Source organism: Homo sapiens, chromosome 3 (genome assembly GCF_000001405.40).
Source record: "Homo sapiens chromosome 3, GRCh38.p14 Primary Assembly".
Classification (NCBI taxonomy): domain Eukaryota; kingdom Metazoa; phylum Chordata; class Mammalia; order Primates; family Hominidae; genus Homo; species Homo sapiens.
Window position 1 is genome coordinate 78619128 of NC_000003.12, and position 16006 is coordinate 78635133.

General features: G+C 36.8%; 1 protein-coding gene across 18 annotated transcripts in view; it reads right to left on the reverse strand.

Moving 5' to 3' along the window:
* The window catches only part of ROBO1 (roundabout guidance receptor 1), a 1170760-nt gene that overhangs the window by 21889 nt on the left and 1132865 nt on the right, over positions 1-16006 (reverse strand). For all 18 annotated transcript variants that reach the window (XM_017006982.2, XM_047448664.1, XM_047448661.1 and 15 more), the window contains 3 exons: positions 14808-14915; positions 12034-12178; positions 8194-8442 (listed from right to left, as the gene is read on the reverse strand). In XM_017006982.2, the coding sequence (XP_016862471.1) occupies positions 8194-8442; positions 12034-12178; positions 14808-14915 (502 nt within the window). The remainder of the gene's footprint in view (positions 1-8193; positions 8443-12033; positions 12179-14807; positions 14916-16006) is intronic.

The window sequence follows — 16006 nt, forward strand, 5'->3', positions numbered from 1 at the left end:
TAAGCAAGGTTAAAGAGATGACATATGGAGGACTTTCAGATGGAAAGGTCATTAAAACACCTCATCAAATTTTGCACTCCTGAGAAGTAAAGAGGATAGATTCTACACAAGCTGCCAAACTGAGCACTGGTATTGGAGAGCAGCTGAGATTAGGGTCTAGGGTCATCTGGTGACCTCCACAGCTTGGGAGGCTAGGAGAGATACAGCATGAATGTCATCAACTGGTAGTTTACCTGAAGATATGGATAAATCACTTAAGAACTGCAAATGCCTAGAGATGGTGCCCAGGATTGAGGCCTTCATCAGTGGGATAAGTGAATGTCGGCACCTCTCCTTTAGCACCCTTATGATACTCATAGAGTAAGATGAGATAAGAATAGCCTTTAGAGCTAACCAAGCAGAAGACTGGATCCTCATCTAGTTTTCCCTTTTCTCATTCCATCTTCCCTGCCTTAGCCCTAGGAGAATGCACCTGGCAGAGGCAGGTGGAGGGAGGTATTTAAAAGCAGAACATGATCACTTTCTCCATGCCACCATTGCCACAGAAAAGGGCATTTGGCAAAGGATGTCTGGGAATGCACAATTGAGGTTTTAAAATTAACAGAAATGACTGGGCGTGGTGGCTCATGCTTGTAATCCCAGCACTTTGAGAGGCTGAGGTGGGTGGATCACCTGAGGTCAGGAGTTTGAGACCAGCCTGGCCAACACGACGAAACCCTGTCTCTACTAAAAATACAAAAATTAGCCGGGTGTGGTGGTGCATGCCTGTAATCCCAGCTACTCGGGAGGCTGAGGCAGGAGAATCACTTGAACCCGAGAGGCAGGGGTTGCAGTGAGCCAAGATCAAACCATTGCACTCTAGCCTGGGTGACAGAGTGAGACTCTGTCTCAAAAAAAAAAAAAAAAATTAATTACATGACATTAAATTCATAGAACTAGATTTTAACAGCAAGCAAACAAAACAAAACCATACAGGACCTGGTCAAGATCTAAATAAAGTTAAAACCAGTAGGATCTGCTCCAAGATCTCTACTATAGAGAGGGAAAAATAACTTTGATATGGCACAGTTTTTAGGGTGGCATGGGAGTTTTTTGAAGAAAAACGTTTTCAAGCTGGGCTTGGTGGTGTGCACCTGTAATCCCAGCACTCTGGGAGGCCAAGGTGGGTGGCATCAGGAGTTCAAGACCAGCCTGGCCAACACGGCGAAACCCCGTCTCTACTAAAAATACAAAAATTAGCCGGGTGTGGTGGCAGACACCTGTAATCCCAGCTACTCGGAAGGCTGAGGCAGGAGAATTGTTCCAACCCGGGAGGAGGAGGTTGCAGTGATCCAAGATCGTGCCACTGCACTGCATCCTGGGCGACAGAGGGAGACTCCGTCTCAAAAAAAAAGAAGAAAAACATTTTCTGCTTTTTATCCCAATGAATTTGAACTTTGATAAATCTGTTCAATAGAAATGGAAAACATTAAAAATAAATGATTATTAAAAATATTGCAATTAACTCATTTAATGAGCACTTACTTTGTAGCTAAGCATATTTTATAAGATTTACTCATTTAATTCAATAACTTTTTGAGTTACTTTTTAAATGATCATTTTACAGGGGAGAATATTGAAATTCAGAGGGATTAAGGGTCTTACCAAAGTTGCCACAGATCACATGTATCAAATGCAGAATTTAAAACCAAAGTTTATTTCCAAGGGCATGACCTTCCACACACATATATAAGTGTAAATATATTATATATATATATGTGTGTGTGTGTGTGTGTGTGTATACATATAAGCTAGGAGAGATATGTGCCATATACAGATGTATTAAAAAACTAAGAAATAAAAGCTAATATATTACATTGAAAAAGTATGCATATACACACATATATGTAATTATATATTATTATGTGTATATATCTGTTATATATACACACAACATTCTTTAATATAATGCATTATTTTTCATTTCTGGGTGGTTTTTAAAGTGTCTGTGTGTGGCACTAGGAGAAATATGAAAAATGTGCCAAAGCTGAAGTTATTTAAGAGATTAAAATAGATAATTGTTTCAATATGGAGTGTTATACACATAGGAGGAAAACCATTGTTTAATTTGGAATGCAATAAAATACCACACTTAAAAGTTAATTTACAGTCTTTGTCAGCATACAAACCCAAAATACCACAAGAAACTTCTTCCTTCTTAAAGACATGTAAGACTTTTTAGCACAAAGGAGACTATTTTGACCATCAATAAAGAAAGATGCAGAATGGCCGACTTCACTATGAAAGGATGCCAGCATTGTTGTGTTTGGATAATGCACATTCTGTAGAGCAAATACATCTTCATGTAAAACAAGGGCTGGCTTTTAACTACAACCACCCTTTACAAATATTGAAGAAAGACAGAAAAATTTATTCAAACCATCTGTAAATAAGGCAAGCCCAGGGAATGTGTGATAAACATGTACAGTTTGAAATATGTAATACATTCTATTGGAAAACAAAAAGCCATTTCAAGATGCTGCACTCAAGTGGGACTTGTCGCAAATGAACCTCAACCCTCTAGATTTCTCCCCGAGGGGTTTCAATGTCTTCTGAAATAATGTATAAGTATATGACTGTGTATCGCAACACTCTAGTCTCCTGCAAGAATGATGCCTTCATAAACATGTTCAAGAGAAAAGCGGAATGATGTCATTAATTTATCAAAGTAGGTGTTTATACCATTCACCATATAGCATTTACCAGGCAAAAGACAAAGGAGAAAAATGCACACCTTTGAGATTTTGTTCTAACACCAGTGTAGCTTCAGTTTCTTGTAAAAGTAACTATTACCTCAACTTATCTGTATTAATCAAACAAGTAAATGTTCATGTATTCCATATATGAACATAATTTTTACTTTTCTAGAGACTTTTACTATACTGCAATAAAGTTAAGCATACCAATCACTTTTTAAAACAACATATTTGAATAAGTTTAATTATATTATTTTCCCAGCTATTGTTTGAAAAAAAGAGAAGACAAATTCCTATTATGTTGATCACCTAGTTTACCCAGTTTTAGACAAAAATGGAATACCCTAGAAGTTCATTATAATACCAAAATTGAAATATTCATAATAATGCAGGTCTTTAATGTTTATATAATTCGACTTGCAGTGTTATAATGGTTTAAGTTCAGTAATTTTATTAATGTATCACACTATCTGCACCCCTTATCAATAAATATAAATGTAATCAATGTATTTATTCTTTAAACATTTACTGTGAGCCTACCATGGTAAAGACTGCTAGATTTATACCAAAAAGATCACAGGCAAACAGAGCTTAGGTAACATGCTTTATGCTTTATGACAGGTAAGGATTCAATTTTAAGGTAAACATACTTAATGTAAGCTACATATCTGGCCATGGCAGACTGTATTCTACAAAATGTCCATAGCAATATCTCCCATTCCAAATGCTATTCTGAAATGAGAACTCGCCATTCTCCCATCAAGAGAGGTAGATGAGTTCAACACTCTCGAATCTGGATGGATTCTGTGATTGCTTTAATTCAATGTGGCAGAAGCAAGACTATGCACCAGTTCTAAATGTTAACTGGCCTGGCAACTTCCCCTTCCTGCCTTTTGGATGCCAGCTGCCATGAAAGAGTTGCCATTAACCTGAGACCCCATGTTATGAGAAGTCCATACTATATGGTGAGACCTGGAGGATAAGACTCCATGTGGAAAGAGACAGAGGTCAAGGAGCACTGAGACATCAGACACATGAGTGAAGAAACTAACTTGGAAGTAGATCTTCCATCCCCAGCCAAGCAACTAAAGCCATATGGATTGGAGATGAATTGTCCAGCTGAATCCTTTCAGAATTCCTGACTCATGGGATTGTGAATAAAATGATTAGATTACTTTAGGTCACTACATTTTGGAGTGGTTTGTTAGACAGCAATAGAAACAGGAACTCGGGCACTATGTTAGGAATTCAGCTAAATGAAATAGATATCCATGTCTAAAGGGACTTTAGTCTAGTGGAGGAGACAAATAATTAAATATGCAATGACAGAGGATATATAGAGTGTTGCGGGAACACATAAATATGGCTCCTATCCCAAAGTTGGGACATCAGGGAAAGATTTACTGAGGAGGATCTGCCATTTAATCTTGGATCTAAAGGATACATAGGTGTTAGCTCCAAAAGGAGAGGAGAAAATGGTGTTCCAGGAAGATGGGAGAGCATGTGCAAAGATATTGAGGTGAGTGAGAATTGTGCTTATTCCAGGAACTAGAAGAAACTTAGAGTGAAGACATCACAGACATTGTTCGGGGAGTAGCAATGGGTAAGGATGGTAGGGCACACAGGGGTCAGATCACAAAGGGCTTTGATTGCTACATTAAGGAACCCTGCTTTTATTTTAAGAAAAATGGGAAGCCATTGAGAGATCTTAAGCAATGGAGAGACTTGATCAGTGTTTCAATTTAGGAAAATGCCTCTGCACAGTCTGCAGCAAGGAATTAGACTGAAGGAGGAGCAAGGCTGAAGCAACAAGACCACTTAGCAGAACATTACTGTAATGCAGGTGAGAGAAAACGGCTGTCGGAACTAGGAAAGTGCATTTATGGCTGGAGATATGTGTATCACTCAGAATGATATTTAGGCAGTAAAAACCTACAGGAATAAGTAGTTGGATATATGGGTCGGAAGCTCCAGAAAGAGATTTGTAGAGAAATAGCTATCTATATCTATGAGTGTACCATTAGGGAAATGGAAGAATGATAAGAATCAGAAGTCATCTACTGATGGGGCAGACATTAGAATAGATCAAGGGATCAAGAGGAGACTTCATTCAAATACTTAAGATGGAAATCACAACATTGTATATAGTATCAAAAAAGGTAGATACAATTAAAATGGCCAATATTAAGGAGTTGGTTAAATAGAGTTACACACTTTACACAAGTGTCTAAATAAAAAGATAACAACGTGAAAAAATGCTGTTCAGTGAAAAGGGTAGTTTATAAAATAATATTGGCGTATCATAAATCCAAGCAATATATAAGTAGAGAAGAAAGATTGAAAGGATCTTTATTGAGGTCTTCACAGTGATTTTTTTGATTACATAGATCACTGGGACTTTTATATTTTCATTTTGTTTATATGTATTTTCAAAAATTTCTATAGTAAACATATAGAATATACATTAATCATAAAAAAGCAGTTAAAGCACTTTTTAAAAATGGGCTTTCACTTACTTTTTATTAGTGCCCAGTGTTATTTCCAGCAATGACCCTGGAAATAAAATCCATAATACCCTTACAGATTGAAAATCATACCTTTGAGAAAGGCTGAAAATAGTCAAATTGATTGTAAGTGCACATAGTTAATGTATTACCCAATTACATATATCTGCCTCAAGTTCTACAAGCATCCATTTGCCTGAAACAATAGACAGTAGGTCAACTCCAATTATTCCATAGTATCCGATTCCATTCATCAAATACTTTACTGAAGAAAGCTCTGTGGAACTCAATGACATGAACGAGATGAGTTCTGCCTTCAAAGAACTTTTAATTTAAATAGGAAAACAGAGATACGAACAGCAAATACTAATGCAATATGAAAACTGGTTAGTGTGGTAACAGGGATGGGAACAGACTCTTATGAAGAGTAAAGAAGAGGGGTTGACTTTTGCCAGGCAAGCAGAGGACGTGTCCTTTGAATAGGGCTTTGAAAGATGAGGGATGCTTACCAGGCAATCAGAAAAGAGCATGTAGAAGACCTGGATGTTGATGAGTTTCAGGCAAATTTAGGAACTTTAAAACAGACTTATTAGAAAAGAGTGTATGTGATGAAATTGGGGGGAAAGTAAATAAAGGGAAAAGGATTGTGAAAACCTTTAAATACTGGGTTAAACACTAACTTGACTCTGAATGGGGGAACATTACCAGACTTCTTGTGTGCAAATAAAAATACTGTGAGAATGAACAGAAAAACAGAGAAGAAAAGTGGAATCCATTTAAGGATAAGGTGGATTTCATGGGACAGGGATGGAGGGCCTGCCCTAGCAGCTGTAGGAATGGAAACTAAGGAGCAAAATCAAGGGCCATTTTGGATTAAAGTGACTTCATGAATAACCTCATTTGTAGAATGCTAGGAAAAAACTAAATAGGAGGATAACTAAGCTGATTTCAAAATGACAAAGGTATTGTTTATGATTTTTGCCTATTTCCTCAGCCATCTTATTTTAAAACATTGGTCAAATAAATAATGGTTGAAAATTCTAAACAAGACAGCCATCAAAGTAAAAGAAAAGATAAGTTTAAAGAGTCAAGTCCAAAGACAAAGAATTTGGATTTAGACACATGGTGAAGTTCAACTGGAAATATTGTGGCATTCAGGAGAAGGGACTAGCCTGGGTAAAGAAATTCGATAGCCAACAGAATATAAGAGTTGAACAAAGCAACGGGATGATGGCGTAAAGGCGAGGGCTGTAGGGCATTAATATTTTTGAATACTTACCCTGCTTCAGATGCTTTACACACATTATCCATTGATTCTCACAACAATTTATAAAATGGCCATCATGGCAGAAAGCATAAGTATGATACAAACTGAGAAGTCTTTACATTTGACCATTAGGAGGTTACTTTCAATGGACTGATCAAAGCAAAACGTTATAAGCCAGAATGCAGTGGGCTGAGGTGCGAATGCGAATCAGGAAGGCAGAAGGAGTTCAACAAAATGAAGCAGCGGGAGAGAGCATGGAGCCAGAAGGGAGGCCAAGGAAGAGGAAGGCATGAAGGGAGCTGAGTTAACCAAGAAGAGAAGGAGAACTGAATGAAGAGGAAGAGGCTGGACATTCCAGACAGATAAAGGAAAACCGATTTCTGTTATCAAGGAAGGTGGAAAGGAGGACATAAGAGATACAAAAGAAGAGCTAGCCAGAAAGAAAATATTGGGTACCCTGAGAATAGAGACAGGAATGGTGAGGAAAAAAGGTAAGACAAGGGAACAAAAAAAACAATGCTTAGATATTTCAGAGCTAAATGGTCTCTTTTAGTCTCTCATTGGCTTCTAATAAGAGTAGCATGGATGGTCTGTGACTTTAATATGGGAAAGAAGTGCCTTATTTGCTCTCAATTTTCGTAACATTCCATGGGTTAATAATATTACTTTAAAATGTCTGACAATCCAACTTCCTCACTGCCAGATAGAAGAAAGCTTAACTACTTTCTTGTTTTTACAGTGTATGTAATTTGAATCTGGTAATAGAAGAGTTAATAAACATTGCAAAATTCTGTTTTAATCTACAGAGTAAAATTCAAGCCACAAAAATCGCAGTTTGTTATTCATTCGAGAATATCAAAGGAACCTCTTCTGAGGCAAATAATATACTCAATTTCAAATGATATTAGGAATACAGAAAATAATGTATACATATAATGTGTCAAGGGCAAAAAAACAGTATAAATAAAATCATCAACAATGAGAGAAGAGCTAAAATGGTGCAGGAACAGCTTTTATGTGGTAGAAATGCGAAGTGAAGCCATTGTATATAACAAATACGTATTGGTTGGGGATGCTCAATACATAGGTTTAAAAAAGTCTAAGCACACACAAGCACACACATACACACACACACACACACACACACACACTATATAATAATCTGACTAAACTACTCAAAACTCATATCTAAATCAAAGGTAGCTGAGGTCAACACAAAAAGACTATGAGAAACTCATTCTTCTGTGACATTATAGTTATGAGGGAATACATTATTATGTAAACTTAATTTTAAAAGACAGGAGAAAATCTGTTTTCTGCTGACCAAAGAAGTGACTTATTGATACAAAAGGAACACTAAAGTACAAAAATACCCACTGTCAATAATATGATACAGAGTTAGCAAACCATATACATGATCTCCATGTGGTTATGAATGTAATAGTTGTAAGTGGGTGAGTATTAATACACATTATTTTACGGTTGCAAGTTCACTAGGATCAATTAATCTAATGCAATGGTCAACAATATGACTTCATATGTTAATTGCCTGGGTTTACTATGGGATGATACTGCCAGAAAAGGCTTATGAGACAAGAAAATTACTTCGTGGGATAGCATTTGGTAACTTCCACTGAGGAGTAGAAATTATCTGATTTGTTAGCAAAGAAGGCTAGTGACAACATACCTCCTGTCGGGCTGGTGCTGCATGTGGCCAGTCTCCTCTGGACAATCCTGTAACATGGGCTGGAGTTCTTCCTGTGGGGAGGGAGTCAGAGTGGCAGTGGACTGATGGCTATAGGACACGGCAGCTGGAGAAGAAGCTGCTCCCCGAACAGGGGGAGTGGGGCCTCGTTCATCTTCCTCCTCTTCTAATTCATCTTGTTGCAAATACATCCTTGCTGGTGGCACGGGACATGGCATTTCTTGGTCATAGCTAAAATAAATGATAAGGATGTGTAGACTTACTTCAGGTTATTCAAATAAACTATTTGGATAGTAATGAAATGTCACCTTTAAATTGTTTTTCAAATCTGAACGTTCTCAGTCACATTAAGGAGATATTATTGAAAAAGGTTTTACCTCACAAGGTTTGTGAATTACTGCATAAACTATTTTTCTCTAAGGGATTGTAATTGACATTAGCATGTTATAGGGTCTTAGAAGTCATGCAATAAAAAAATTCACTTAACATGGCTTAATTTAGTACAGCCCAAATGTATTTGGTATATTTTGTCCCTCCAATATGTTCTCTAAAAGACTCAAAGATGGTATTACAGAGGACCTGAAGATGAGCTGCTACATTTAGAGAAAAATTACTCTTTTTTTTTTTTTTTTGAGATGGAGTTTCGCTCTTGTTGCCCAGGCTGGAGTGCAATGGCACAATCTCAGCTCAACGCAACCTCCACCTCCCAGGTTCAAGCAATTCTTTTGGCTCAGCCTCCTGAGTAGCTGGGATTACAGGTGCTCATCACCATGCCCAGTTAATTTTTGTATTTTTAGTAGAGATGGGGTTTCACCATGTTGGTTAGGCTGGTCTCGAACTGCTGACTTCAAGTGATCCATCCGCCTCAGCCTCCCAAAGTGCTGGGATTACAGGCGTGAGCCACTGTGCCCAGCCAAGAAAAATTACTCTTAACAATCTTTGCAGAGAAAGATATAATGGAGGTCAACCTGTTCAGTCCAATACAACCCATTTTTTTTTCTCTGAAATTATAGTAGATCACTATTTCTTCAGCTGAAAACAAAATGAAGTTGTTGGCTTGCATTTAGGCTGGTGAGTGAAAAACACAACACCATTCAACAATAAAATGCCCTACTCCTCTGCTGGAGATGGGTGGGAAGCACGATGGATCTGGGGAACATTCATGCCTTTCTCTTTTCTCTTATCCCAGGGCGTATGTTTATCGATTATAAGGGCAATGAAGTACTACATTATATAAACTGTGGACCCATTTCCCTTGTTCATTCTCTACCATCCACCTTGTTTACCTGAACTCAGGAAAGTTGATGCTCAAATAATATTTCTTTGCATCTTTCTTTACTTTCCTAATCTCACTATCTCCCTCTTTGCCTCTTTCTTATGTTTCCTTTATTAACAAACAGCTGAGCAACTTGCCTACTTATCCAAACTAGAAATGTTTTAGTTATCTTTGACTTCTTTCTTCTCCCTCAAACTACTCCCCAATTCATTTCTATTCTGTCAATAAAAACTCTCTAGAATCTATTCTCTAATTTTTATTTCTTGTATGTGCTACTGCAACAATCTTTTAATTGGTCTCCTAGCCTCCCAGTCACTCCATTGCTTCCAAAATTACACTAATATGCATCACATGCTGGCTATTCATGTGCTCTTCAAAATAAGAAATGGCTCTCTAATTGTTTAGAGAATAAAATATAAATGACTAAGCAAAACACTCGAGTATCTGCATAATCTGGCTTACATTTGCTGTCTCAGCTTCGTCTCGTTCCCTACCGTGTGTTTCATGTTAGTTTTCCAGGAGACCACATCTGTGTGGTCCCATGTCCATAAAACCCCTTCTTCTTAACTGAGAACCTTCTCATTTGTCCAGATCAAGAACAAATGTAGCCAATCACGAAACCTTCATTCTTCTCAGTTAGAATCAGTCTTTCTCCTTGGGGCACAGTTGCAGCTCCTATATTGCTTTTTTTTTAAAAAAAACCTATATTCACTTATTTCATTTTAGTCCTCTTATTTTTGTGAATGAAAGCAGCAATGAATGTTGTTAAAATAGCTTGGGAAATGCATTCAGGCCAAGTGGAATGGCTCATGCCTGCCTGCAATCCCAGCACTTTGGGAGGCTGAGGCGGGACGATCGCTTGAGATCAGGAGTTCGAGAACAGCCTGGGCAACACAGTGAAATATCATCTCTACAAAAAAATAAAAATAAACTTAGCTGGGTGCTGTGGTACAAGCCTGTAGTCTCAGCTACTTGGGAGGCTGAGATGGGAGGATCACTCGAGCTCTGGGGTGAGTCCCTGTTTCTAAAAACAAAACCAAACCAACCAAACCAAACCAAACCAAACCAAACCAAACATACAGTTTCGTTTTCATTACTTGCAGATTCCATATCTGCAAATTCGCTGACTTGGTGTAATTTATTTGTAAACCCCCAAATTGGTATCTGTGGCATTTTCATGGTCATATTCCCACAGACTCACAAAGAGGCCAAAAATTTGAGCGCCTGATGTGCATGTTCCCAGCTGAGGTAAAACAAGGATACACTTTGCTTTCTTGTGTCAGTTCTCACACGGTAAACAAGCGTCCTTTTCATGGTTTATTTAGTGCCATGTTTGTCGAAATGTTTTAAGCTTTATATTAGTGATTTCCCTGCTTAAAATGGCCCTCAAAAGAAGTGCTGAAGGGCTTGTTAGTGTTTCCACGCCCTAGAAGGCTGTAATGTGCCTTAAAGAAATATATCTACGAAATCAGCTTTGCTGAGGCATGGCTTATTGGGTTCCATGTTAATAAATGAACAATATATATTAAATAAGCCTCTTTAAAAACACATACATAAAACAAGGTTATGTATTGGTCAGTGGACAAATATGTTGTGGCTAGAGGTTAGAAGGAACCTAGCCCTGTATTTCTCCTAGGCCCAATGAATGGTTCAACATTTGCTAACTCACTGTTCACAAGAATTTTAAAACACATAAATATTGTGGATAATGAGATTTCCCTGTCAATATTTTTATATAAGAATTTTACTTAAAAATGCATTTTATAAAAAGATTATTAGAAACCTGAAGCACAGAGGCTTTGTTTCTGGGCATAGTAATACACTTCTCTGTGTGTGGAGAATGAAGGAATGATGTCTTTACAGCAGTCACAGAAAAAACTGTATTTTCAGGTATATTTTACGATTTATTCGTTAATTCTCCACCTTAAAGGAGTTTTCCCCCTTTGGTTATGTTAAAGAAGCAGCTGTTTTGTTTCATTTGGTGGTACCATGTCCAGTTCTACAGATTCTGGAGTGAGAAAGAGGTACACTAGCTTCCTAATTGCTATCATGTGGATTATTATACTTGTTAAGTCTTTGGGAGAAACAATCCAGTAAAGTTTACATTTCTACAGAGTTCTCAGCATAAGGTGATAATATCTAAGAACAAATAGCCTTCAGGATCCCATCGTTGTGGTATAAATTCACACGATTATCTTTCAAAAATTTCAAGACCTGTCACAGAAGTTCTAATACTCAAAAATCACAAAATTATATATCCATATGTTAAATTACGTATACACACACAGGATAGATACATGAGCTAATATGTATCATTTTTATATTCCATTCTAAGTTCCAAAAGAATCTTTCAAAGCACAGATTGCTTTTTTGGAAGCAGCAAGGAGAATTTTTACTTCCTGCTGACCAGCACTATTTTATTTAAAGGCAACTGTTTGTGGACCTTAGGAATCAGTCTTCTCTTGACCACCTAGTATAATAATTGCTGAAAATGGGCTGAAACAATCATATTACACTGTTTACATCTGTTTGGATGCTCCTCTTACCTTTCATCTACAGAAATGTTGTACTCTTCGCTATTGCTGTGTGGAGGAGGATGTGCTGGGGGAGGAGGAAGCAGGTCTGCCCAGTTCATGCCACCCTGTTTTGGTACCTTGGGTGTTCTTGCCCCTTTCTTGTGCCCCTGACTCCCTAGAAAGGAAATAAAATAGAAGCCATTGATCTCTGGCCTTTAAACTTTTTCCATTAGTCACAAGTTAATTATTTTTTGTAAATATGATTTTATAATTCATTTATATATACAGAGATAAACATGCTTTTTCATTAATTTTAAACAGAACTTTGTACAAGAGAACATGCAAGGTACTGCCATGAATAACTGCAAAATAAATAGCAAAAAAGCAATAAAACCATGAATGAATGTTTCAAGTCATATCATTAATAGTGATCTTCCTGCAGCAATTAATTGCATTATGGATTATCATCTCAAACAAATGAGCTGTAGATATATTTTCTCGAGTGCCTTTCTATTATTTAATTGCTGGAACTTAAAATACAATATGATACAGATACGATCTATTAGAGTTCCACTGTTGCATTAAATCACTGAATATATATAATTTGTACTTGTCCATTGAAATGTTTTAGGCACAATGAAATTACTAGTTCCCTTCAGAAAGGCAAGTACAGATGAAATAATAGCTGGAATAACTGATAGAACTAATGACAAAAGAAGCAGAAAAATGATTTTTAAAAGGGACAGAAGTGTTTTCAGCCACTGTTTCTGTACAATGATGGCTTATGGTAAAATGATGTTGCTTGAACATTCTTAGTAGTTTGACATAGCCCAATCATTCAAGTGCTCCAGTGTTCTCATTTTAGATCTGGCATATTTTTTAAACACAAGAGGCTATATATTTGAGAGCATTTATTTTAACAAAAACTTTAGGTCAACAAATATTTTGGGACAAAATATCCCCTTTCCAATATGTTATATTTTTGATTCATATGTGAATTATAGACAATGAGTCTATGATTATTTTTCTCATAAGTTCCCTTTATATCAGTGCATTATGTTGGCCTTAGTTTTTTAACCCTATCCAATCCTTCTCCAAGTCATGTAATATATGAATCAGGTCTGATCATATTCAATGAGCCTTGATTTTTTTGTCACTTGGGAATTTTCAGTCAAATGGCAGTGTTTGTTAAGCCAGATGTTCTTGTACTGGTAGGTTACCACACTAAGCGTGGGCTAGGGACAGGCTGTTATTAATAAACTACGATTATCAGTCCTATGTGTATGTCTCTCACTTCTCTCGTCCACCACTCCGGTGTCCAGCATTGGGATAACTGTGCATGTGTTGTAGACTAGACATTAACCCACATCTTCCTCTGGATTTCCTGATATACATCTACTGTAGCAACTCCATCAGTCCGGAGAGGCCTATCACAGATCTCTCCTATACCTTATTTACTTGCTTTGTTCTCTTCCCTAATTACCATCACGCATCTTTACATCTTTTTACCATATATTCACAGAATATCAAATGATATATAGCAGTAGAACACCCAGATCTAGGTATCTAAGCTGAGGGATGCTGAAGGTCAATTAAAGATTAATAACCTAGAATCATTGTTTATTTTCCCATTAAGATATGGTTTTCTCTATGTGACTAAAAATTCAAAGATCAAATGGCATAAGATAATCAAATATTAAAATATTTCATATGATTTTCTTAAAAGTAGATCCTTGAAATATTTCTCTTAATTCAGGATTGACTTAGCTTCAAAAAAGAAGTCATTTAATAAGATGTTAATTGTTAAAACAAACAAATAACATATAATAGAATCAGAGTAAATCTAAAAGGTAAAGGGCCATTTCTAAGCTCCCTTAATTCCAACAGAAACACAGGCTAGACAATGCCAGACCAGCGTGTTAGTTAAGGGAAAACTGTAAAATGCAAATGCCATATTCATTACAGAAGAAGGGTGGAGACTCTTGGCTAAAAGCCCCTAAGAACAACTTTAATCCAGTTGCTGGGAAGTGGCATTTCTACCCTCTCCTGGAGAAACATTGCTAGAGTCAAGATCAGTCGGTTTTGTTCTCATTGTGGTGTGATGTGCCACATGTTAGTTCTAATAACGAACTGCCTTTAATTAGAAAAACAGGACTTAAGTACCCAGCAAGCTCCCATCTGCAGCCCCTATCAGGAAAACAGCTGGCAAACAGCTGTAACAGCATGAAGACCACAGGGAAGAGGCCTCAATGTGGCTTTGGGAGGCACTTACAGACTGAGGTTGGGAGGTTGCTTTACGAGGCTTCAGAGCAAGAACTGAGGGATCGTAGAGGGATGATAAACTGAGACAGGCTCCTATTGTACCTGAATCTCATGTTATTGTCTCTCCGGCTTTTGATTCTGCTCAAGTGTCCTCAAACATTATGTGCTTTTATAGGCTCGTTTCAAATGGCAACATATTTAGCAGGTTAACTCTGTGCAACATTTTTAGTTATATTTTGGCCAACGGGGAAAAAGTTTCAACTGCCTTTAAAGATTAACCAGACATGTTTCTTCTGGCTTTGCTAAAGCTCATTAACAAGGAAGAAAATAGGACACTTAGTCTTTTTGCCAAATAGAACATAAAATGATTTAGTGAGTGGAAAGTCCCTCAAATTGCAGAGACAAGACACATGCCTGAGACTCAAATTACATACAGTGATTTAGACATGTCACCTACATACGTCAGTCCATTAGCACTCAATTTGTAATCTTGGAAAGTACCAGCTTTTTAAAGGAGAAGTTCTTTGGTTCATCTTACTTACCAGATGTACTACTGCCCCGGTCTGAGCTGTTGTAGGATCCTCCTGTGTTCTGGTCGTATGATTGGTTGTATGGGATAGTTGGAGGAACTGTGTCATTTGCTCGATAATCTAGACATATCAGATGAAAAAACAATAAACATTTATTTTCTCTTCATGAGCGATTTCACATCTCTGCTTTCTCTATATTTCTGAGTAACTAAAGAAACAAATTGGACCATTTATTTGCCTTTTTTCTCTTCTATTGTTGTATTCAGATTGTCAGGATATAAAAAGGCTTATACTCCAAATATATATAAACTATAAATAACTTTAATAATATAATATCAATATGATTTTAATAAGAATCACAAAAATGTCTGCAAATCATAAAAAATAAATCACAATACATAAAAATAAAACTGAAACCTGTCAGCAAGGTTATATCTAATAAAAAATATATCTATGATTAAAAAAAACAAATATCTTAATTTGCCCCAGAAATGCTTCTGCTTACTTAGGCAAAGGTGAAAATCCAAATGATAAGCTTGCCACTGGAATGTAGTCAGTAATAATCTGTCGTCTAGTTGCATTCCAGGTTCTTTATTATGGTCTGACATACCAAATCTGCTTACAAGCAGTATAAACAATAAATCAGAGTTCTGAAATATTTGTGCGGAGGCTCTCAGGGCTTTCCGAAGTCCACAGTAAAACAATATACTATGAAGGAATAATGTGACAATAGTTTGAATCACCACTGCAAACTCCATGATTACAGAAACTGTCCTGTTCATCTTTGTCAGTTTTTGTTATGAACTTATGCAGGAGTCTCGATCCATATTTATTAAATTGGGTTATTATACCAATCAAGTACTTTCTTAAACTTGAGAAAAGCCTAGCTGACTTCATTCTCGAGTTAAAACATAATATTAACTTAAATGAAATTTTTAAGTTATATTTTTGTCATCTTCAACTGTGATAAATCGCATTTTCAAAGAAAATGTTCCCAACCCAAACCTAAAGAAAATGTCTATGTCTCCAATTATCTCCAGTGTATTCTTTACCTGGAATAGGTGGGGATGCATTGCCCCCATCTATTCACATTAGAGCAATCCTGGTTTTCCTAGAGGTATAACTTTGCAAATCATGATATTATAGCAGTAGCCTAAAGGACTACAAAGAAACCAAACACCTATCTTTTCCAACTCATACACATTACAATA